The sequence below is a fragment of the Homo sapiens genome, chromosome 19, assembly GCF_000001405.40.
Source record: "Homo sapiens chromosome 19, GRCh38.p14 Primary Assembly".
Taxonomy (NCBI): Eukaryota; Metazoa; Chordata; class Mammalia; order Primates; family Hominidae; genus Homo; species Homo sapiens.
This window is the reverse complement of record NC_000019.10, coordinates 7903835-7924225: the sequence shown is the minus strand read 5'-3', so window position 1 is coordinate 7924225 and position 20391 is coordinate 7903835. Positions and strand designations below refer to the sequence as shown.

Sequence of the window (20391 nt, the reverse complement as noted above, 5' to 3'; positions counted from 1 at the left end):
GGGGGGGGGGGCTGATGTGTAACCCCCAGCTGCCTCCCCTCCACACACAATTCTGTTGATCTGGGGAGGCGCCGGGGGTGGTGAGAGAGACTCAGCCCTGTGGGGAACTGGGAGGCGCACCCTCTGCCAGCCCTGGAGGGAGGCTCCGACGACCGACCGTACCTGCAGCCTAAGCCTCCTCCCCCTGCCCACCACCATTGGCAGCGTTTGTGGGTCTGGTGCGGTGGGGCGGTGACCACGGACGGAGTGGGCTGGCTGTGCTCCAAGGCCCTCCCAAGAGATGTGCACCCCAGGGGAGCCGTGTGCAGTGTGTGGGGGGAGGAATGAGCGTTTCTATAAAAGGCAGGCTGGGTGAATGCACAGGCTCCGAGAACGGAGAATTTACCGACTTGGATTACTAGCTGGGCGTGGGACGCGGTGCCGTGGGAGGACATCTGCTTCCCTCTCTAGGACCCGACCCTCGGTCCACACCCACAGGGCAGGTGAAGCTGATGGAGGGGGCCTCAAGCGGGGTCCCAGCACCCCCAGGGGTTTGGGGTCAGCCCTGACTCCAGTACCCCTCCCTCCCCGCCTTCTAGGGATCCTTGAGGTCCCAAAGCCACCCCAGGGGACACTCCACTCCCACTAGCCTCCTGCCACTCGGGGCAGCCCACCCCTATCTATCTTCCTCTAACCGCCCAGCCTGGGGCTCAACTCCTTCCACCGGGTCACCCCCACTCTCTGCTGCCTTCTCCCCTCCACCTGTGCGATGTGATTTTGCCCTACTCTGAAACCCATCCCTGACGCCTGTCCCCAAGGTGCCCTGCCGGCTCTCCCCATCCACACTTGTCAGCTTCACAGTCACCAAGGGGCTCCTCACCCCAGGCCTCATCACACCAGTCAGGTGGCAGCTCTCCTCCCTGGCACACACCCCCAGCCCTGTGACCCCCAAGCTCTGACACTTCAGGGCCCCCACTTCCATCTTTAAGTCACAGGTGAAAGAGAAAGAGAATGATAACTTTATTCATGGTCACAGAATACCCCCGGGAAGGGGAAGGACCTGGCAGCAGGGAGTAACCACGACTGGTCAGTTGAAGAAGGTGAGGATGCTGGCCCCGAGGTGTACAGGAAGGGGGAAAATGTGCGAGGGCCTTTACGGTGGGCAGTGCCAGCTATGGCCCCCCAGCAGACAACAAGGCACAGTGGGGCTTGGGGACTGGGGGAGGCCAGCCCTGTCCGCCTGTCCTTGACATCAGGAGGCTTGTGAGTGGAGTCCTGCAACCCCCACCCAACCCCTGTACAACGGGGGTTCCATTTCTGAGACCCCCAAAGTATGGGGCATCTTAGAGGCCCGCCCCACAGCTGAGCATCATCTCAAGGACCTTCCCCCATGACGGGATCCTCAGAAAGAGCCAGGGCCAGCCGAGCAGAACCGAGGGGCAGGGCGGGGGGCCTGGTGTGGCCTCCTGCCCGCCATGCCCCTCACCTGGCAGGGGTGGCTGCCCGACCCAGAAGCTCCAGGGGCACCAGGAACGGGTTCAGGGGACAGATCCCAGCTGCTTGCCAAGGCGATTTCAGTTCGCTGTGCTCGGCCTTCTCGGTGGCTGGGGGGGTCTCCTCTGGTGCCTTGGAGCCAGCCCCATCCCCTTCTGCTGCAGGCCCCAGGCTCCCTCCAGCGGGAATGGGCTGGGGGGCTGTCAGGCGTAGGTACGTCTCCGTCATATGCTCAACCAGGGCTGTGCAGGGCAGGAGTGGCAGCTCCTCTGGAAGTGACATGAGCAGGTCGAGGACCACAGCGGACTCTAGTGATGGATGGAGGAGAGGGGTAAGGGGACACCCCTGCCTGCTGCCAGGGACCCTTGATCCCTCTGCTCCTGCCCCCTCCCTCACCCTTCTCACCAGCTGCTGAGAGCTCGGGGCTGCGGCCACTTCGGGAGACAGAGGACAAGTACTTGTAGATCTTCTCAAAGTCCACAGCAAAGTCTTCTTCAGTGGAGGGACCAGCCGACGACTCAGAAGGTTTCTCAGGGGCAGGGTCAGGAGTCCTGGGTGCGGAGCTAGGTGCAGCAGGGGCAGAGCTAGGTATTTCAGGGGCGGGGTCTTCCTGTCCTCCAGGGGCGCTCAGGAGCAAAGGCTTTCCACGGGCCTGCGTGGGCTTGGGGGGCTTGGAGTGCAGGAGGGTGACCGGTTCCGTGGCCGCGATGGTGAGCACCTGGCAGGCAGAACAATCAGGGAGGAAGAGGAGCTGGGAAGTCTTCTCACCGTCTACACATTCCCCCATCCTCCCTGCCACCCTAAGATGCTCCTCAGACAAGAGATGGCCTCAGAGCCAGGGACACTGAGGCTCGAGGTGTCCAGTGACTGACGGAGTCCACAGAGCTGGCAAAAGGGCCCAGGACCCAGGTTCACATGATTTGGCCCATGTGACCCTGTCCTCTGGGACACCCTGACCTGCCTGGGGGAATGGCGGTACCTGCGAGAAAGCCACTGCCAGGGCTTCTTCCAGTGGCCCTGTTATCTTCTCAGCCAGATCCGTCCAGACCTGAGTGAAGCCAGAGGTACAGGGTCAGCCCAGGGATCAGCCTGCAATGGCCCCCCAAGCCCTGCTCCTCCTGGGGATCCCCTAATCAGGTTATCCCCCGCAACTCCCACCTACCCACCAGGGACCTGCCCTGGACAGCCTCACCCTGTTCATCTGCCTCACCTCTATGGGGGCTGGGGGCTGTGCCTCCCGGCGCCTTGGTCCCTGAAGGCCACCCGGATGCACTTTCTGAATGGCCTCCCGGGCTACGCGGCCCTTGAGCTGCTGGAGGAAGACCCGGATCTAGAAAGGAAAGAGGCGGCGGAATGAGGCTTCTATGAGCTCAGGGCTGCAGCAGAGAAGCCAAAGCCCAATCCCTTGTATGCTCTGGGCCCCGCTACTGCGCCTTAGTCTCCTGCTGGCCCGGTGTTAGGAGTCCCAGTGACTGCCAAGGCCCCTACCCCACCCAGAGCGTGACCAGCTACCTAAGGAAGTTGTAAGGCCCAGGCCAGTTCCGGCTCCTTCACGCAGCCAGGGCCCAACCCTATGCTGACTACTACCCCGTTCAACTCCCTTCTTCGTCCCCTCTTCTCTATTCCCTCTCACTTCAAGCTCGTATCCTGTCCAACAGCATGCGTTGCTTTTCGCCCGGACTCGGCAGCATCTTACTCCCAGTTCATTCCGCCCGTTTAGCCCTCGCCTCACCCACGCATTACCCCGAGGCTCGCCCCGCCTTTAAAGCTTGCCCTCATCCCGCCCACGCCCCTCCCACGCCTTACTCCCAAAACGGCCCCGCCCTTAAGTCTTGCTATTAACCCGCCCACGCCCCGCCCCCAGGCTCGTCCTGCCCCTCAAACTCACCCACCCACTCTCCAAACCTCAGCGGCACGCACGCCCCGCCCCCGGCATCGCCCCGCCCCTCCGCTTCACTTATGCCCCGCCCACGTCTAGCTCCCAAGCTCGCCCCGCCCCTAGGTCTTCTCTTCCCGTCCACGCCCCGCCCCTCACCCCGCCCAGGCTCACCCACTAACGCCCCGCCACTCAGCCCCACGCCACGCCCCCGCTCGCTTACATTCCTGGCCCCGCCCCGCTGGCTCCTGCCGCAGCCCCGCCCACTCTCCGCCCCACCCCAGCCCCGCCTCCAGCCTGGCTCCGGTCCCGAGAACCGCATCTCACCTCAGCCTCGCTCCGGCCCCGCAGCTCCCGGGCCAGCTCGGTGGCGTCCGGCTCCGGCTGGCCCTGCCGCGCCTGCAGGAGTCGCACTAGCTGCCGCTTCTCGCGAGCGCTCCAGGTCGCGGGACCGGTCACCTCGCCCAGATAGCGCGCCGGGGCCGCTCGCCGCCTGGGAGGTGGCTTCATGCCGCTCAGAAAGAGGCAGGCGCTGTAAGGTCGCTTCTCCGATGGGCGGAGCTACGGGGGCCGCCGAGGTCAGAAAGAACCGCGCGGAGGCGGACGCGCGTGGGGGCGTGGCTTCGCGTTTGGAGGCCCGGGGAACCGCCCCAATGGAAGTGAAGGGGAGATCGGCACCGGAACTGGGGCGGGGCGAAGGAGACCCTCAGCCTGCACTTTATCTCATTCATGAAGTGGAGACGACACCTTGGATCCCATGCCCTCCCTCTGTTGCTGGACTAACTCATGAAGCTACTACTGTGTGCTTTGCTTCTCGCAGAGGGGTGGGTTCTGGCCGAAAGGTCAAGTCCGAAGATCCAGTCGGTCAAGAGCCTGGGCTCTGGGGTCAGACAGGCCTGGGGACTTTGGGCAAGTGATTTAGCCTTGCCGAGCCTCAGTTTCCTCCTCTGTAGACTGGGGCTGATAGTCCCACTCTTGTCTGTGTAAGGTAGAGTGGAGCTCGGGCAGGAGGGATTTAAGGAGCTCTAGACTAGACTGACAATCTAAGAGGAGGGCGAAGTCCAGACCAGGAGGGAACTGGAGCAGAGGCAGAAGGTCGAAGCGGAGCTAGGGCAGGGTCCGGGCGGGGGTAATGGAGAGCGGAGAAGGCCTGGCTTGAGAAAGATCGCAGGAGGCAGATGGGCAGGTGTCCGGGTAAGGAGAGGAGGGAGGGGGAAGGTTTATTTTAAACTTACGCTTGTGGGGTTGGGTGCCGCTTTTTTTTTTTTTTTAGACAGATTTTTGCTCTTGTTGCCCAGGCTGCAGTGCAATGGCGCGATCTCGGCTCACTGCAACCTCTGCCTCCTGGGTTCAAGCGATTCTCCTGCCTCAGCCTCCCCAGCAGCTGGGATTATAAGCACGCGCCACTACGCCCTGCTAATTCTTTTTTTGTTACTTTTTTTAGTAGGGACGGGGTTTCACCATGTCGGCCACGCTGGTCTGGAACTCCTGACCTCAAGTGATCCACCCACCTCGGCCTCCCAATGTGCTGGGATTACAGGCGGGAGCCACCGCGCCCGGCCGGGTGTCGCTTTCTGTTTGAGACAAAACGCCCTACAGTCTCCCATGGCCTGGGAGTGCACACGGGTATATGGGCATATGGGCCCCGTCCCCAGGCTCCACCCCTGTAAGTCACGATTTCTCAGGAATACCCCCCAAGTCCTGCTCCCAGCTTTCTCCCCAAGCCTCCCCACCTATCCCCCACCCCGCACGTTGCGCGCTCACTGACTGCACCAGAACTTAGCCGGTCAGTCCAGAGGTTTATTTTGAGCACAGGTGGGAGGGACAGGGGGAGGAGAGAAGCGCAGGGGTCGTGGCCTCATCAGGTCCGAGGTCCAGGGAGGCGGGTCCGGTCCTGTTGGTCCTGGTCCCGAATTGGTAGCTGGGTGTATCTCCGGACCATGTTGGGGGCGCACCATCCCTGGGAGGGGTGGCTGAGGCTCAGCGAGGGAGGGGACGCTACGCGGGCCACCTCCCTTCCCAGCAGACCACTAGCCTCTTCCATCGGTCTGCATGCCGGGGTGAGAGTGGGAGCCGGGTCCGAATGCTGAGTTCTCCTCGCCTAGTGCCTCTCCTCACCTAATGCCCCTGGCTCGACCCAAAGCCCGCGCCTGCCGCGGGTGACCCACTGCCTGAGTTCGAATCCAAGCTCCACCCAGTATTGTGACTTTTGACAAGTTACTTAATTCAGAGAATGCCTCATCATTCTCGTCTCTAAAATGGGGATTATAATAGTGTCCGCCTAGAGGTTAAGGGGATTAAGTTAGTTCATAGGCGTAAAACATTTACAACAGTGCCTGGAGGCTGGGCGCAGTGGCTCACGCCTGTAATCTCAGCACTTTGGGAGACCGAAGCGGTAGGATCACCTGAGGTCGGGTGTGCGAGACCAGCCTGACCAACATGGAGAAACCCCGTCTCTACTAAAAATACAAAATTAGCCGGGTGTGGTGGCGCATGCCTGTAATCCCAGCTACTCAGGAGGCTGAGGTAGGAGAATCGCTTGAACCCGGGAGGCAGAGGTTGCGGTGAGCCGAGATCGCGCCATTGCACTCCCGCCTGGGCAACAAGAGCGAAACTCCGTCTCAAAAAACAAACAAACAAACAAACAAACAAACAAAAAAACCACAGTGCCTGGCACGAACTAAGCGCTAGGAAGCGTCACTGTCAGATCTCCTACCTCACCCAGCTCCCTCCACCTCCATACCTACCTTCCTCACTGGGACCTCCTGGGCTGGGGACCGCTGGGCGAGGCTCTCGCGGGCGGGCCAGGGGCGTGGGGCGCTGGAAGGGAGAGGCGAGCTGCAGAAGGGCTGCTGCGCGCCACGCCAGGCTAAGGGCGGCCCCTGGGGGCTGCTGCGGGCATCGCGGAGGCAGGCCTAGCTAGGGTTGATCAGGCCCCGCAGGCGGGATCGCGGCCGCCCCGGGTCCCGACGCGCGGGATTAGACTGGGGGCCCGGCTTGGCGGAGGTCGTCGGTACCTGAGTGCGCACAGACGAGACCCAGCCCGGCGGCCAGCGCGGCGCCCAGCACGAAGGCTGCCAACACCAGCGCCACCACCGGCGCGGGTTCCAGGGCCGCGGGGGCCGGCGCGGGAGGCTCAGGGCGCACTGCACGGCCGGGGACACTCTTGGGCGGCCCTGTGGGAAGTGCCACGCTGAGACTGGGTCCAGCTCCCAGGCGTCCTTCCCACCCGCTCTGCCGCCCCACGGCCCCATGCGGAGGAGGACTGCGTGCTCACTGGGGGGCGGCCGCGGCACGGTGACCACGATAGGCTGCGTCAGCGTGTGCAGGTGGGGGCCGTCAGCAGCCAGGCCCTCGGCGCTGCCACTGCCAGTGTCGGCGCACGCCTCGTCCTGAGGCAGACACTGGGGGAGAGGAAGGTGGGGAAGAGACGGGGACATCAGGGCACCGGGATCGTGGCTCTGGTCCCCAGGGCCCCCAAGAGAGACCTGAGTCCAGCTCTCCACCACAGCCAAGATGGGACCCCTGGAAATCCGGCCCCTTAGGGTGCCCTGAGCCCAGCCCCTACGCATACAAGTGGCTAGCCGCCCAGCCCCTAAGGACCCCAAATCCCAGCCCCACAAGATCGCATGGTCCGCGTCTCCCAGCACCTAGCATGTGAGGCCCAGCACCAGGTTCCCAGAAATGTGTCCCCTTAGTGGCCTTCTGCATCCAACCCCCAGCCCTGAAGGATTCCAGAGCTGTCCATGGGGGAACCCAGTGTCCACACTGTCCCCGGAGAAACTCTGTCGGCAGAGATGGACCCTTGCGCCCCACCTCCCCCAACCCCCAGATCCTCAGACCCCGAGAGTATCCTCTTTCCACTGCCAGAGTCGCCCGTGCCCAGCCCCCGAAGGGCCCCAGCGCCCGGATTCCAGGCTCTGCGCCCGCGCACCCGCGATGGCGGCGGCGGCGGCGGCGGCGTCAGAGGCGCAGGCGCCCGGCGGACTCCCCGGAGGCGGCGGCAGCGGCTCAGCTGGCAGTGCAGGAACTGCACCGAGGCGTTGAAGACCGGGCGCAGGCGGAAGCTGAAACGCGCGGGGCGGGCGGCACCCGGGCTCGGCGGCGGCGGTGGCGGGAAGGCGACAGAGGTGTCGGCGGGGCAGCCCTCACGCAGCAGAGCCAGGGCGGGCCCCGGGGCCGGGCGTGAGGACGGCGTCACTGAGCAGCGGTGCAGGGCCAGGCCCCAGCGCGGGGAGGGACGGGCCAAGGCCGCCTGGGGGACGGAGGCGCCATCAGGGATCGCCCGTCCCCACCGGCCCCCATCCGCCCCTGGTGTCCCCGGGGTCCCCACCTGCACGAACACGCGGCTGTCGGCCGGGACCTCGAGCGGCCCCGCGCGGCGAGGAAAGACGTCCTCTGTGTCGGACAGCTTCAGGCTGAAGAGGGGTCTGCGCAGCCAGGGGCCGGGCGCCGCGGGGAACGGGGGAGCTGGCGGGGCGGGGAAGGGCGGCCCAAAGGAGAGAAAACGCGCGCTGCCCTTTAGGCCTCCGGGAAAAGTGACCCGACCACCTCGCCCCCGCCGCCGCCTTTGGAAAAGGGATGCGGTTGCGGCGGCCGATTCACCCATGATGGGCTCCGCGCCACTTTCCCCCCTGACGGTGATGTGCCCCCTGGCGACCCCTGGGACTCGCACAGCCCAGCAACTGAGCCGGTTGCAGAGCCATGCGCCCCTAGAGAAGCCTCCGAAGCTGGCGAAGCCCTCCCTGGGGCGGAAGAGAAGCGGTGAGGAGCACCCGATGGTGGGGTCCGGCTGGGTGAAGTCAGAGCTCCCCCACCTTCCCCAGGGCTGCTCTTGGGGACGCAGCAGGACAGGCGGCTCCCCTTTCTAAGGGGAGATAGGTGCTGTCACCAACGAGGAAGGGAAGTGAAGAGGATACCCTCCCAAGAGGCTCTCCTGGGCACAGCCAAAGCCCAGCCAGGCCACCAAGATCTGAGACGCTTCCACTTGTCCAGGCTGAGGCAGCCATGGGACCCCTCCCCTCTTCGTGCCCCTAAACACACGCTGATGTCTGCCTTCAGGTGCTGAGCGGGGTCCTGGTAAAACGGCTAATCTCCAAATACGAAAGATTGCCTGCACATCCATTTTTCTTGTTTTCTGAGACAGGGTCTCCCTCTGTCGCCCAGGCTGGAGTGCAGTGGTGCGAATACAGCTCACTGCAGCCTCCACCTCCTGGGCTCCAGCCATCCTCCTGCTTCAGCCTCTCGAGTAGCTATGACCACAGCCACTCGCTACCACGGCCATACGGGGTCTATGTTGCCCAGGCTGGTCTGGAACTCCTGGCTTCAAGCGATCCTCTCACCTCAGCCTCTCTTAAGTGCTGGGATTACAGGCATGAGCCCCCTTGTCCATCCGCACACCACACCCACTTCTGAAGAGCACCTGGGTAGACTGGCCCCCTCCCACAACTCTGGCCCTCTCCGTGGCTGCAGGGAGCTTTGCCGAAGTGGGGATGTGAGCCACCCTTGGGATGGGGGACAGAGACCCCACCCCACTCCCCTGCCCTGTCCCCACCCCCATGAGGACCACCACCAAAGGTCTAGTTGAAAGAGAGTGACATCGGTGGGGCGCGGTGGCTCACACCTGTAATCCCAGCACTTTGAAAAGTTCGAGGCGGGCGGATCGCCTGAGGTCAGGAGTTCGAGACCAGCCTGGCCAACATGGGGAAACGCTGTCTCTACTAAAAATACAACAATTAGCCAGGCGTGGTGGTGCGTGCCTGTAGTCCCAGCTACTCAGGAGGCTGAGGCAGGAGAATCACTTGAACCGGGGAGGCGGAGGTTGCGGTGAGTGGAGATTGCGCCACTGCACTCCAGCCTGCGTGGCAGAGCAAGACTCCATCTCAAAAAAAATAAAGAGGGTGAAACAGGGATAGAAGCATGACAGACCCGTCACCTCCCTGCCCATACATACCAGGTGGCCCGCTGGGTAAGGTGGTGATCCCTGGGAGCAGGGCCAGCAGCAGCACGGTGCCCAGCATGCTGGACCAGCTGAGGTCGGAGTGTTTGGGGCCAGAGCAGACACCAGCTGGGCTGCACCCAGGTCCCGCACGTGGGCAGGCGGCCCTGTCCTTGGCAAGGAGGGAGGCAGGGAGCGGGGGTGGCAGACTGAGGGGCTGACACCAGAGCCAATGCCCAAGGCCTGAGGGGATTAAGGGATCCTCTGCTGCCCGACCTGTGGCCACTGGGGGCAGGGGGTCCCTTACACCAGCTGCTTGATACCCATCGGCAAGTCACTACAAACACCTCCCGTCTAGCTCCCAAACCTGCCTCAGTCTCCCCTCAATGCAGAAACCTCCCCCCGCAACCACCCCCTTCCCACCTCGCCCTGCCAGGCCCATGACACACCACAGACTCGGTGGAAGAAAAGGAAGGGGTTTATTCTCAAGCGTCTAAGGGTTTACAAACGAGGGCATTTTGTTTTAAAAAGGGGCAGGGCGACACTGGCGGCCTGAGGAGGGGTCCATTGGCTGGTGGGCTGGCCCGAGCCACCCTCAGGCCCCTGCCCACCCGGTCCGCCCTCTGCCTGGTCCAGAGGGATGGCTGGTGACGAGGGGGGAGGTCTTGGGAGAGGCTGGGAGGCAGGAGAGACTCCCCCAGGGCTCCCCACTTAACACTGAAGGGGGTGGGGGTGGGCGGACACACACTCATAAAACAGAAAATAAAGTTAAATAAAAATAAAACCAGGCAGCCCGGCCTCGGGCCTGTGCTGGCCCTGGGACCAGCCATGCAACCTTCCGGCAATCGCAGAGGCCCCCATGGCTGGATGCAGGGGAGGAAAGGGCCAGGCCTGTTGGCACCCCCACCCGGCAGACCCCTGGCCCCTGACAAAGGGGCCAAGGGGCAAGAGAAGGTGGCTTTCCTCCCTGGGGGCAGAGAGAAGATGACATCTATGACTTTTTAAACATGCGGCGTTTTGTGAATATCATGATAATAACAAGAGTCAACAGGCTAAGTGAGAGGAGAGGGATGCTACGCCTACGCTGCCCCCACCACGGCCAGCCGGCTTCTGCGCCTTTGGTGTTGGATTTTCTTTGTGATTTTACGGGGTTTTGTGTTTTTTTTTTCTTGTTTTTTGTTTTGTTATTTTTTCTTGTCCACTTGATTTGCATGCAACACCCACAAAAAGGAAACACACCCCCTCCTGCTCTGGCCACCCCAGCAGGCTCCGGGGGGCACCTGGCCTGGGTCCCCGGTGCACTCACCCGGTCCTTCCCAGTCCTGGACCTCAACGTGGACTGGGCCAGGTGTGGGTGAGTGGAGGGACGGCCAGGGGCACGATGGGAGTGACCACCTCGCACCCCCACCCTCAGCCCGGCCCCCACCCCTGCTGGAGCTTGTCACACGTCCTCAAACCCCCACATCCACTCCCTCTGCCCTCCATCCCTGACTCCCTCCGGACCCCTCCCTTGGCCCCGCTCCGTCACCGATTCCCTCCGGTCACCTGCTCTGCACCATGCCCCAAGACCACCTTCCCTGAAGGCCATCCTGTGCGGCCAGGGCCCCGCAGACCCCTCCACATCCCCTGAGGTCTTCAACTCACCCCAAGCTGTGGCCCCCGGAGACCCCAGAGCAGCAGCCCCAGCCCAGCTCCCCAGTGCCCGAGGGCGGTTGGGGCCCCACCACAAGCAGCTAATCGTGACTTTGGTAAAAGTTTCTGAAGGTACCGACAACCCCACGAGAACAAGCTCTCCTCCGCCCCCACCCCAAACACCCCACCAAGTACAATAAAATACAATAAACTCCAAAAAGGACCCCCTGAGATCAAAGAGAGAGAGAGAGAGAGAGAGAGAGCGCGAGCGCGCAGCCCCGTCCAGCCGCAGTGGCAATGCCCACACTGCCTGGCTGGGGGCCACTGACTCATTGCGCCATGGGAGACCTATGCAGACCCAGGGGACCCGTCAGGAGGTGGCTGGGCCCAGGCTCAGGCCAGAAGAGAGACAGAGGCAGGGAGGGTGACGGGAGAGCCAGACAAGGACAGAGAGGTAGAGCAGGGGACAGAGGGCGACGGAAGAGGAACGGGCGCGTGGGAGTGGCGAAGGACACAGCACGCTGGGAGCGTGCATGGTGGCTGCGGGACTCCAGGGCTCTCTCCTGGCCCCTGGGGGCCGCCCCGGCCCAGAGGCTGCGGCTGAATGAACAGCGACTCTGATCGCGGCCTGCTGTCTTCCGTTCACAGTGTCTGTCGGGGGACGCACACGGCCGGCTGACCCCGGGGTGGGAAGGGCGGGGGCTTGGTAGGCCCGGGGCGGGGGGGGTGGGTGGGCACCCCCCACTCTCTGTCCTCAGTCCTAGGTGGCCGTCCAGGTCCCAGGTCTCCCCTGGCAGGCAGCTGGGTGGCCAAGTGGGGAGGGGGGCCTGTGGCCATGCCCCTGGCCCCCTGTGGGGCTGGCCGCCGCCAAGCAGCTACCTGAAGAAGGGCAGGTGGGGCTGGCTCAGGACGCCGCTAGTCCGCGGTGACTCAGTCTTCGCCATGACATCCTTGAACCAGGACGCCACGTCCACCTCCAGCGTCTCGTAGCGCTTGATGAAGCTGTGTTCCTGTGGGCCCGAGGGGGTGGGGCTTAGGAGGAGACGGTCTTCCCTCCTGGCCTCGCGCCTCCGCAGGGACAGGACGGGGACTGGGAGGGCTCAGGTACTCACAAGTAGCTTATTATACTTTGGTCTCTTCCTGTGATCTTTAGTAAGGCTAGAGCAAGAGAAGGGAAGACAGATGTGAGAACGAGGGAGGAGGGGATGCCGGCCCCACCCCTGTGCTCAGGCCCTCCCCAAGGGGCCAGGGGTCCCCAAGATGTGTGTGGGGGAAGGAGCTGTGGATGTCCTCAGGACCCCGGCTGACAGCGGGGAGCAACTGTGAGTCCCGGAGCCTCCTGGCCTAGGGCCAGGTGGCAAGGGCCTGGCTTGGGGGGCCAGAGCTGGCTGAGGTCCCCCAGAAAGGTGGGTGGGGCTCCCCTGAGAGAATCGAACATGGCCCTCCTGAACTTGTAGCTGTGCTTGTTGCAGAAGCGTGCTCACAATCTCCAACAGCCACCCCGCCAAATGCCACAGGGCTGGCTGTCCCCTCAGGCTAGGTCCAAACCCAGCTCATGGCTCCCTGGGCACCAGCTCCAGCTCCTGTGGCAGCCGCCAGCCAGGAGCCCGCCCACAGTCGCATCCGCCCATCCCAGGGTGCGGCCTCCATTCCCCTCCTGCCATTGCCTCCCCAGCTGCCCAGAGCAGCGGGCTGTCCCTGACCTCCCAAGTGGAGGGAGGTTCTCACCAGTCTTTGACGAAGGACTGGAAGTCCCCCGAGAAGCCCATGTGTCCGGGCAGAAGCGGGGGCTCTTCCTGTAGGACTTTGGTGAGGACCTCAAAGTCCGTCTTGCAGTTCTTGTAGGGAAACTGTCCTGTTGCCAGCTCCACCTGGGAGGGAGACGGGCAGGGCTGGACAGGTTTATGTTCTCCTCCCTCCGAGTCCCCCAGAAGCCCTCACTCCTGGCTGGAGAACAGGGGAGGGCCCCAACTCACCAACGAGATGCCCAGGCTCCATACGTCGGCCCGGATGTCATAGTCCGGCTTGGTGGGGTCTGGGGGGTCAATGCGCTCGGGCTGCAGGGGGGGGAGGAGAAGACGTATCTCCAAGGCTGGGGCCGGCCTCCCAGCCCCCACCCCCTCCCCCGCTGGGGGGCCCCCACTCACTGCCATGTAGGCGGCACAGCCGGCGCTCCGCGTCTTGGCTTTGGAGTCCACCAGGCGGCCGCTGATGCCGAAGTCGCAGAGCTTGATCTGGCCCCGCTCGTCCAGCAGGATGTTGGAGGGCTTGACGTCGCGGTGGATGACACCGTGCTTCTCCTTCAGGTAGTACAGCGCCTTCACAATCTGCAGGCACGCAGAGGGGGGTGCATGTGGCAGGGGGCACAGACCCAAGGCCACCTGCCCGGTGCACGCCCCACCTGGCCACTCACCGCCACTGTCATCTTGCCCAGTGCACGCCCCGCCTGGTCACTCACCGCCTCTGTCATCCTGCCCAGTGCAAGCCCCGCCTGGTCACTCACCGCCACTGTCATCTTGCCCAGAATGCGCTCGGGGATGGGGCCCTGCATCCGCTTCTTGAGCTTCTCAGCGCAGGTGCCCATGAGCTCCATGGCGATGAAGACGTCCGTCTGCAGGGAGAGGGGCACCCGGGGGAGCTGTGTCTTCCGGCCCACCCCCCAGAGGCTCTGCTCCCTAGGAAGGGGCAGGGGTGAGGGAGGAGGAGACGCTGCAGGGCGCGGCCAGGTACTCACGTTGGTGATGAACGTCCCAAAGCACTGCACGATGTAGGGGCAGTCGTGGCTCTTCAGCACCACATCCAGGTCCATGAGGATGCGCTTGTTCTCCTCCTTGTTCCCGGAGCGCCGCATTTGCTGCACAGGCAGGGACAGGAGGGAGCCTCAGCACCGGCCTGGGGTGTGGGGCGCAGCCGGGGTAGCCGCCAAGGCTCACCTTAACGGCAATGACGTGGCCGGTCTTCCGGAAGCGCATCTTCCACACCTGGCCGCAGGTGCCGCTGCCCATCTCGCCCAAGTTCTCCAGGTCGTTGATTTCTGCCTGGTAGCGCTGGGAGGAGAGGGAGGGTTGGAGGGTCCCTGGGGCCTCTGCCACCGCCCCCTGCCCCCCACTGGCGCTCCCAGGATGGGTCCAGCCTGGCTGGGCCTCCTCCCTCTCCCCGCCACAGTGAAGGTGGTACCTGGCCCCCGATGGTCAGGTAGCCCGTCTGCTTCATGATCTCCTGCAGCTTCTGGTCAATCTCAATGCTGGGGACATGGAGCAGGTGCCGGTGGAGGTGGGTCCTGACCTTAGGTTGGCCACCCCAGTCCCCCATACCGGGGTTCCCACCGGTTTAACCACCCTCCTCCCAGGGCTGGCACGGTGGCCCCTCAATGCTGCTTCCCACCCAACCCTGCTGGGCCCCTGGCTCACCTCTCCATGCTGCGGGGTGTGAACAGGGTTGACGGGAGCCCCAGCATGTGGCGGGGCCGGGCGGGGGGCGTGGGGTGCTGCGGGGAGCTCTCTGAGGATGGCGAGCGGCTGCCCCCATCGTTGGCCAGCGGGAGCTGCAGGGCTAGGGGGGTGAGAACCAGTGGCAGGGAGGGGGGTCAGCGCCCAGCTGGTGTCAGCTCCACATCTGGCACTCCAGGGAGGGGTCGGGACCCTCACCTTCCCCTCCTGGGTTTCCCGAGCTAGGCTGGCACAGCCCCCTGCCCTGCTGGGCTGGAGGAGCTGGGGTCTCCCTCCCACCCCAGACTGTTCTCAGGGTCCCTTGTCTCATCCCCTGACCTGGAAAGAGATGGAGGAGGCTAGCAGGGGAGAGGGAGCCCCAAGTCTACGCTGACGGAGAAACGAGATGGGGACCTGAGGTGTCCCTCGGCCAGGGGGCCTCCCTGACAGGTGTGTGCACTTCCTCCCACTTCTGCCCAGGAAGCAGGCCCAGGGCCACAGCACCCACAGGATGGATAGGCCAGGGCGGAGTGCCTGCCAGGGCTGGCCCAGGCTGTGGCTCTGCTGGTAGCACTGAAGTTGGCTCCCAGACAAGAGCGAGCAGGGCCACGCTGGGGAGGCAGCGGGCACGAGACCCAGGCTTCAGGCTGCCTTGCCCTATCTTCTGTTCCGGGGTCAGGGAGGGCCCCCCTCGGGCCAGTGGGCTGACATGAGGGCCTCCTGGCCTGGCCTGCAGAGCTGGGGCCCATGGGGGCAGGACAGGACCTCAGGGGGCCTGCATCCTCTGGGAGGAGAGCTCGGGGGCACAGCTCCTGCAGGGGCTGGCGGGACCAGGTGGGGCCAATGCTGGGCCAGGCGGGGGTTGGCTCATCCAGCAGCCTGCATGCGGGCAGCTCGGGCATGCTACAGCGGGTGGGCAGGCGGCGGGCAGGCAGCAGGCACCCTGGGGTGGGCAGGCGGCATTAGGGGTGGGAGGGCAGGAGACAGACAGACAGACAGGAACCAAGACTAGGGCCCAGGTGCCCAGAGGAGGCGCTGCAGAGACAGGCCAGAGAGGGGCCTGGGACAGGAGGGCAGCTTCCCGGAGGAGCTAGGGTCTCCCTGGCTGGGCTGGCAACAGGGTGCAGGAACAGAGGCCGGGATGCTAACGTGGCCTCCAGAGGAGCCAATCCTGACACGTCACATCCTAGAGGCCCTGACAACGGCTACACACACCTACCAAGGTGCCCCTCCCACAGGAGCTGGGGCCTGCCGCTCTCCAAAGCCCTCAGCCAACAAGCCCCTCTCCCCTCTTTTCCTCCTGCCTCGTCCACCTTTTCTCCCCACAGTTCTGCAGGCTCCTGGTGACTGGTGCCCAGGGACTAATATGAACAGACAAACCCGCTCCATGCTGGCAGCTAAACCCCGTCCCTCCCGTGTGCCCAGGACCCTGATCTCAGCCAGTAGGAGGGGCAGGAAGACGCCTCAGTCCCAATGCAGGAGGCCCAGCATTGCCCCTATCTGGTCCTGCCAGCCCCTGCAGGAGCTGTGCCCCCTAGCTCCCCTCCTGGAGGACCAGGCAGGAGCAGGGGAAGGGCTCTGGGGACCTTGGGACACAGCCAGGCCCAGCGTTCATGACTGGCCTAGAGGCCTCACCTCCCGTGCCCCTCCCGCTGTCCTGGCCACTGCCGCCTCTGCAGCACCACGTCACCTCCCACTGTTTTTTTTTTTTTTTGAGATAGGTTCTCGCTCTGTCACCCAGGCTGGAGTGCAGTGGCGTGATCTCAACTCACTGCAACATCCCCCTCCCAGGTTCAAGTGATTCTCCTGCCTCAGCCTCCTGAGTAGCTGGGATTATAGGTACACGCCACCACACCCAGCTAATTTTTGTCTTTTGAGTAGAGATGGGGTCTCGCTATGTTGGCCAGGCTTCTCCCTCTGCTTCTTCAGGTCCCTGCGCCTCTGCTCTGTCCATGGCCTGAGCCACAGCCCCAGTCCCCTTCTGGCTCCCGAGGGCCTGTGCTCCCCCCAACCCAGCCCCCAACCCCTGTGCACCTGGCATCTCTTGAGACACTGCCTAGTTCCCGCCCTCAGAGAGTATCCGAGTCCCGCTCACACCCTGCACTCAGCGGTTGACGACCACAGCCCTCGAGGAGTCCTGTGGGCCCCTTCCCTGACAGAGCCCACCAGGCCTTCCGAGGGTGGCCCCGGAGCCTGGGGAGGAGGCTGCCGGACCACAGACTGGAGCATGGGGGGATGGAAGGGAGGGTTCAGGTAGGCACTGGGGGAAGGAGGTACACAAAGGCCCTGAGAACAGAGGCCACAGAGGTGGTGATGGCCACATGGCAGCTCAGGAGGGTGGAGTGAGAGCAAGAGGGTGAGGATGAGAAAGAGAACGGATGAGAGAGAGCGAGAGGCTGGAGGGCACGTGTCTGCCGACAGGAGCCACAGGTGCACCGGCTGCCATGTCAACATGCACGCACATGCCGTGCAAGTGCACGCACGCACAACACACACCCGGGGCATGCCGTGGACCTAACACCCATGCAGCCGGGACAGAGTCCCCCTTGCCCTCGGACACACATACTCACAACCACTCACAGGGCCAGGCACCCCATCTACTCTCTCTCCCAACACAGGCGTGGGGCACAGCCTGCATGCCCCACACAGGCTGGCGCTGCGCTCAGAGCCCTGGCGGCCCTGTCTTCTCTCCCCCCCCAACTCCTTCAAGACGCTTTTTAAATTTTTTTTTTTTTTGAGACGGAGTCTTGCTCTGTTGCCCAGGCTGGAATGCAGTGGCGCGATCTCAGCTCACTGCAACCTCCACCTAATCTTTTATGTTTTTTTTTTTTTTGAGATGGAGTTTTGCTCTTGTTGCCCAGGCTGAAGTGCAATGGTGCGATCTCAGCTCACTGCAATCTCCGCCTCCCGGGTTCAAGCGGTTCTCCTGCCTCAGCCTCCCGAGTAGCTAGGATTACAGCCTCCCGAGTAGCTGGGATTACAGGTATGTGCCACCATGCCCGGCTAATTTTGTATTTTTAGTGGAGACGGGGTTTCTCTATGTTGGTCAGGGTGGTCTCGAACTCCCGACCTCAGGTGAGCCACCCGCCTCGGTCTCCCAAAGTGCTGGAATTACAGGTGTGAGTCACTGTGCCTGGCCTAATCTCTAGTATTTTTAATGCAGACAGGGTTTCACCATGTTGGCCAGGCTGGTCTCGAACTCCTGACCTCAAGTGATCCACCCTCCTTGGCCTCCCAAAGTACTGAAATTACAGGCATGAGCCACTGCGCCTGGCCCAGTTTTTAAATTTTTGAGACAGGATCTCGCTGTCACCCAGGCTGGGGTGCAGTGGTGTGATCATGGCTCCCTGTAGCCTCAACCTCCCCGAGTGTTGGGATCACAGGTGTGAGCCACCGTGCCTGGCCTCCCCAGAGGCTTTGTTCAATTCCCACCGTCTCCAGAGGTTCCCCCAGGCTGGCCCCCTGCAGGGCCGCTCACCCAGCTAGAATGTTCTCTCTGGTGGGAATGTGCTCCTTGTCCAGTGGGCCCCCCTATTGCAGCCCCCCGCTACAGAGGAGAGGGGCTCCATCTGTTCTATTCACTGCTGTGTCCCTGGCGCCCAGGGCTGGTATGGAACCCGGGGGGTGCTATGTGTTCACCTAGTTGTTGAGAGAGATCCATAGGCACAGGCCACCCACCCACCAGGCCCAACTTTCTCGTTCTCTCAGTTACACACACACAGGCGTGCACCCCCCCCACCCCCGGAGGCCACAGACTCCCATTCAGTGGGGGAGCCCACCTCCTCCTCCAGGGAGTCCAAAGTGGAGCTGGGAGTAAGGGAGGGGGAGGAGGAGGGAGGACGCAGAGGAGGCTGGGCTGGGCTGACCGCTGCTTGAGTGGAGTGAGAGAGAAAGTGAGAGTGAGGGGAAGGGACATGGGGACACACACAGAGCATGGGGGCTGGGGGACGCCATTCTGCGGCCGGGGCAGCGGTTAGGTCAATGGTGCAGATGTCCAAGCAGCGATGATAAAAAGGCTGGTACCTGCTCGTTGGGACGGGGCAGGAGCAGGGCTTAGAGTGATCACAATAACTGGATGGGGAAAAGGAAGAAAAAAACAACACCACGATAAATCACAACAGAAACGACTGATTCGTCCAAAAGAAAAGAAATCAAATCATAAACGAGGAGGAGGGGGAGGCACCGAACTGCAGAGATGGCTAGGAACCGACAGAGATGGGGAGGGCGGGGAGGATGGGATGGAGTTGACACAGACAGAGACGCCTGGAGGGGACTCCTCGGGGGCCTGCCTGCCACCGGCCTCCTAGCTCTGCATGGGAACGGCCACCCCTGAAGGCACCCGGGATCCTGGACTCAACCCTGTCTCATCCACTCAGGGGCCAGGGAGGGCGGCCCCCAGGGGCTAGCAGGGACCCGTGTCTTGGCTGGGCTTCTTGTCTCAGGCAGTGTCCTGCACCAGAATCCCCACCTCCATGATTTCTCTGGACCCCCAAGAGACTCCCCAAGGAGGAACCCACGCTGACTCAGGTCAGGAGAGGGAGGGACAGGAGGGTGTCAGGCTGTGAAGGTCAGGCTGGGTGACCAGGGAATGGGTGGGGTGCCCAGATACGGGGGTACCTTTCTCGCCTGCCATAATGACTCCATAGAGAGAACTAAATAAACTACGAAGGTCACATCAGAGGAGACAAGAGAGAATTTTACTGGGTCAAGAAAGACACAAAAAGGATCATGGGTCAGGGGTGGTGTTCACAGGGTTTGAAAATCTAATTTCCTCCAGCCCAGAGGATTTAGAGACCAGGATCTTGGGGAAAAAGCCGGGAGACTAGATATGGTCAGTGTTCCCAGGCCAGGTGTGTGTGAAGCGAGAGGTACTGATCTAGGATGACAAGGTGTCAGGGAGGTAGGTACCGAGGTGGTGGGACTGATCAGAAAGCAGGTGGATGTATGCTGGGGCGCGGCGGGAGCAGGCCTAGAGTCACACTGGCCCCAGGTGTCCCCAGGTCAGGTGGGTGTGGGTGTGAAGGGAAGGGGAGCCATCACTTGAACACAGGTGACAAAGTCACCGGGCTGGCTGGGGGTCGATGTGCATTTCTGGAGGTCAGACACCACACGCTCACCAAGATGGTGGCAGTGAAACTGGTCACAGGGATTTGCGGGGCCTGGTGTATGTGGGAGGGGGTCTGCTGAGCCCAATGCCATGGTCACTGTCGCCAAGAGGGGGAGAAGGGACCCCCTCCCGTCCCCCCACCTCAGACACGGTCACAGGGAGAGCGAGAGGGAGAATCCTCGGGTCAGAAGAGATGGGGAGGGGCTCTATGTGGTCAAGTAACCTCAGGTGTCCCCGAGCCAGGCGTGCGCGTGTGCGTAGATCGTCGCTGCACGGGGCTGACAAGCCCCCAGGCCGGGGGAGGGGGGCGCCAGACAGTCCCTGAGATGACGAGAGTGGTAGCATCAGGTCAACAGGGACGTGTCTGTGTTTTCGGGGCGACCTGGATGTGGTCACTGTCGCGTGGAGTCGGGGAAGCCCGACCCAGAGGATCACGGCGATGGGGGCGGGTCATCAGCTGGGGGCCTCGCCTGGGTCCGGGAACTGGGCTCCCAAGCCCTGAGGGTGCGAACCCCCCGGAGCTCGCCGGCTCCACGCCCCCCGGGTCACCGTGACCCTCGCCCCGCGAGCCCGCAGCGGGGGGGGCGGAGAGGAGAGCGAGCGCCCCGGAAGCGGGGGCGGGGCCTTGTGGTGGGGGCGGGGCCTCCCGCGGCGCGCGCCCCGCCCCGCCCGCCCGCCCCCTCCCCCACGCCGCCGTGCTTACTGGGCCTGGGCCGCTGGGGGCTGATATCCAGGTTGAGGTCGATCCTCCGCCGGGCCTCCCGGTTCTCCTGCTTCAGCTTTGCTTCCAGGCGGGACAGCTTCTGTTCCAGGGAGGACGCCGCCATCTTCCCCGCCGCCACCGCCGCCGCGCACCGCCCGGCCGCCCGTCAGTCCGGCAGACAAACACCGCACTGCGCCTGCGCCCGGATGACCCCGTCGAGCCGCCGTCTCGCCC

The 20391-nt window shown here is 63.4% G+C and overlaps 3 protein-coding genes across 10 annotated transcripts, besides 14 other annotated features; all 3 read right to left on the bottom strand.

The window, feature by feature from the left end:
* Nucleotides 1–975: 975 nt before the first annotated feature.
* SNAPC2 (small nuclear RNA activating complex polypeptide 2) lies at nt 976–3888 on the bottom strand. Of its 2 annotated transcripts, none has more exons than NR_030717.2 (5): nt 3107–3211; nt 2684–2803; nt 2453–2521; nt 1879–2191; nt 976–1781 (listed from the first exon to the last, which is right to left on the bottom strand). NR_030717.2 is itself a non-coding variant. In NM_003083.4 (5 exons), the coding sequence occupies exons 1-5, from the start codon at nt 3857–3859 to the stop codon at nt 1462–1464; spliced, it is 1005 nt and encodes a 334-aa protein (NP_003074.1). In that variant the 5' UTR covers nt 3860–3888; the 3' UTR covers nt 976–1461. The 2 variants fall into 2 exon arrangements, 1 of the variants encoding a protein (NP_003074.1); NM_003083.4 differs by lacking the exon at nt 3107–3211 and adding an exon at nt 3677–3888.
* Nucleotides 2058–2660: an enhancer, noted in NCBI's record as "H3K4me1 hESC enhancer chr19:7986451-7987053 (GRCh37/hg19 assembly coordinates)". NCBI's record gives its function as "activates a minimal SCP1, AML or CMV promoter by ChIP-STARR-seq in naive H9 embryonic stem cells {active_cell/tissue: H9 hESC(naive)}" and the evidence as "EXISTENCE:reporter gene assay evidence [ECO:0000049][PMID:30033119]".
* Nucleotides 3329–3528: a silencer, noted in NCBI's record as "silent region_10001". NCBI's record gives its function as "represses an Ori minimal core promoter by ATAC-STARR-seq in GM12878 lymphoblastoid cells {active_cell/tissue: GM12878}" and the evidence as "EXISTENCE:reporter gene assay evidence [ECO:0000049][PMID:35858748]".
* Nucleotides 3609–3838: a silencer, noted in NCBI's record as "silent region_10000". NCBI's record gives its function as "represses an Ori minimal core promoter by ATAC-STARR-seq in GM12878 lymphoblastoid cells {active_cell/tissue: GM12878}" and the evidence as "EXISTENCE:reporter gene assay evidence [ECO:0000049][PMID:35858748]".
* Nucleotides 4361–4860: an enhancer, noted in NCBI's record as "H3K4me1 hESC enhancer chr19:7984251-7984750 (GRCh37/hg19 assembly coordinates)". NCBI's record gives its function as "activates a minimal SCP1, AML or CMV promoter by ChIP-STARR-seq in naive H9 embryonic stem cells {active_cell/tissue: H9 hESC(naive)}" and the evidence as "EXISTENCE:reporter gene assay evidence [ECO:0000049][PMID:30033119]".
* Nucleotides 5129–9396, bottom strand: TGFBR3L (transforming growth factor beta receptor 3 like). 4 transcript variants are annotated; one of them, NM_001419781.1, is made up of 7 exons: nt 9303–9396; nt 7683–7819; nt 7284–7604; nt 6627–6753; nt 6367–6525; nt 6097–6169; nt 5129–5309 (listed from the first exon to the last, which is right to left on the bottom strand). In NM_001419781.1, exons 1-6 carry the CDS (start codon nt 9367–9369, stop codon nt 6102–6104), a joined length of 879 nt encoding a protein of 292 aa, NP_001406710.1. In that variant the 5' UTR covers nt 9370–9396; the 3' UTR covers nt 5129–5309; nt 6097–6101. The 4 variants fall into 4 exon arrangements, with proteins under 4 accessions (NP_001406710.1, NP_001182188.1, XP_011525915.1 ...); NM_001195259.2 differs by having other exon boundaries at nt 7683–9396; XM_011527613.3 differs by having other exon boundaries at nt 5129–5397; nt 7284–9396.
* Nucleotides 5536–6411: an enhancer, noted in NCBI's record as "H3K27ac-H3K4me1 hESC enhancer chr19:7982700-7983575 (GRCh37/hg19 assembly coordinates)". NCBI's record gives its function as "activates a minimal SCP1, AML or CMV promoter by ChIP-STARR-seq in primed H9 embryonic stem cells {active_cell/tissue: H9 hESC(primed)}" and the evidence as "EXISTENCE:reporter gene assay evidence [ECO:0000049][PMID:30033119]".
* Nucleotides 6101–6170: a silencer, noted in NCBI's record as "silent region_9999". NCBI's record gives its function as "represses an Ori minimal core promoter by ATAC-STARR-seq in GM12878 lymphoblastoid cells {active_cell/tissue: GM12878}" and the evidence as "EXISTENCE:reporter gene assay evidence [ECO:0000049][PMID:35858748]".
* Nucleotides 6291–6380: a silencer, noted in NCBI's record as "silent region_9998". NCBI's record gives its function as "represses an Ori minimal core promoter by ATAC-STARR-seq in GM12878 lymphoblastoid cells {active_cell/tissue: GM12878}" and the evidence as "EXISTENCE:reporter gene assay evidence [ECO:0000049][PMID:35858748]".
* Nucleotides 6412–7288: an enhancer, noted in NCBI's record as "H3K27ac-H3K4me1 hESC enhancer chr19:7981823-7982699 (GRCh37/hg19 assembly coordinates)". NCBI's record gives its function as "activates a minimal SCP1, AML or CMV promoter by ChIP-STARR-seq in primed H9 embryonic stem cells {active_cell/tissue: H9 hESC(primed)}" and the evidence as "EXISTENCE:reporter gene assay evidence [ECO:0000049][PMID:30033119]".
* Nucleotides 6441–6540: a silencer, noted in NCBI's record as "silent region_9997". NCBI's record gives its function as "represses an Ori minimal core promoter by ATAC-STARR-seq in GM12878 lymphoblastoid cells {active_cell/tissue: GM12878}" and the evidence as "EXISTENCE:reporter gene assay evidence [ECO:0000049][PMID:35858748]".
* Nucleotides 7445–7494: a silencer, noted in NCBI's record as "silent region_9996". NCBI's record gives its function as "represses an Ori minimal core promoter by ATAC-STARR-seq in GM12878 lymphoblastoid cells {active_cell/tissue: GM12878}" and the evidence as "EXISTENCE:reporter gene assay evidence [ECO:0000049][PMID:35858748]".
* Nucleotides 7909–8409: an enhancer, noted in NCBI's record as "H3K4me1 hESC enhancer chr19:7980702-7981202 (GRCh37/hg19 assembly coordinates)". NCBI's record gives its function as "activates a minimal SCP1, AML or CMV promoter by ChIP-STARR-seq in primed H9 embryonic stem cells {active_cell/tissue: H9 hESC(primed)}" and the evidence as "EXISTENCE:reporter gene assay evidence [ECO:0000049][PMID:30033119]".
* On the bottom strand, nt 9748–20349 carry MAP2K7 (mitogen-activated protein kinase kinase 7). Of its 4 annotated transcripts, none has more exons than XM_006722800.3 (12): nt 20158–20349; nt 18371–18418; nt 14330–14471; nt 14097–14163; nt 13853–13966; nt 13654–13773; nt 13423–13530; nt 13067–13246; nt 12896–12976; nt 12648–12811; nt 12032–12077; nt 9748–11929 (listed from the first exon to the last, which is right to left on the bottom strand). In XM_006722800.3, the coding sequence occupies exons 1-12, from the start codon at nt 20279–20281 to the stop codon at nt 11795–11797; spliced, it is 1329 nt and encodes a 442-aa protein (XP_006722863.1). In that variant the 5' UTR covers nt 20282–20349; the 3' UTR covers nt 9748–11794. The 4 variants fall into 4 exon arrangements, with proteins under 4 accessions (XP_006722863.1, NP_001284484.1, NP_001284485.1 ...); NM_001297555.2 differs by having other exon boundaries at nt 12648–12790; NM_001297556.2 differs by lacking the exon at nt 18371–18418.
* Nucleotides 19307–19846: an enhancer, noted in NCBI's record as "H3K27ac-H3K4me1 hESC enhancer chr19:7969265-7969804 (GRCh37/hg19 assembly coordinates)". NCBI's record gives its function as "activates a minimal SCP1, AML or CMV promoter by ChIP-STARR-seq in naive H9 embryonic stem cells {active_cell/tissue: H9 hESC(naive)}" and the evidence as "EXISTENCE:reporter gene assay evidence [ECO:0000049][PMID:30033119]".
* Nucleotides 19307–20137: a biological region, named in NCBI's record as "H3K27ac-H3K4me1 hESC enhancer GRCh37_chr19:7969265-7969804".
* Nucleotides 19788–20137: a silencer, noted in NCBI's record as "silent region_9995". NCBI's record gives its function as "represses an Ori minimal core promoter by ATAC-STARR-seq in GM12878 lymphoblastoid cells {active_cell/tissue: GM12878}" and the evidence as "EXISTENCE:reporter gene assay evidence [ECO:0000049][PMID:35858748]".

Excerpts from the sequence above, each read along its gene's own strand:
- SNAPC2 (NM_003083.4), bottom strand. The coding sequence starts at position 3,859 with ATGAAGCCACCTCCCAGGCGGCGAGCGGCCCCGGCGCGCTATCTGGGC. Across the intron at positions 2,522-2,683 it reads AGCCCCCAGCCCCCATAGAG|GTCTGGACGGATCTGGCTGA; the intron begins GTGAGGCAGATG and ends GGCTTCACTCAG. Across the intron at positions 1,782-1,878 it reads CCCCGAGCTCTCAGCAGCTG|AGTCCGCTGTGGTCCTCGAC; the intron begins GTGAGAAGGGTG and ends ATCCATCACTAG.
- TGFBR3L (XM_011527610.3), bottom strand. The coding sequence starts at position 7,958 with ATGGGTGAATCGGCCGCCGCAACCGCATCCCTTTTCCAAAGGCGGCGG. Across the intron at positions 6,754-7,283 it reads CGCCGCCGCCGCCATCGCGG|TGTCTGCCTCAGGACGAGGC; the intron begins GTGCGCGGGCGC and ends CCTCTCCCCCAG. Across the intron at positions 6,170-6,366 it reads TCTCGTCTGTGCGCACTCAG|CGCCCCACGCCCCTGGCCCG; the intron begins GTACCGACGACC and ends TCTCCCTTCCAG.
- MAP2K7 (XM_006722800.3), bottom strand. The coding sequence starts at position 20,281 with ATGGCGGCGTCCTCCCTGGAACAGAAGCTGTCCCGCCTGGAAGCAAAG. Across the intron at positions 14,164-14,329 it reads ACACCCCGCAGCATGGAGAG|CATTGAGATTGACCAGAAGC; the intron begins GTGAGCCAGGGG and ends CCATGTCCCCAG. Across the intron at positions 13,531-13,653 it reads TTGGGACGTTCATCACCAAC|ACGGACGTCTTCATCGCCAT; the intron begins GTGAGTACCTGG and ends CTCTCCCTGCAG.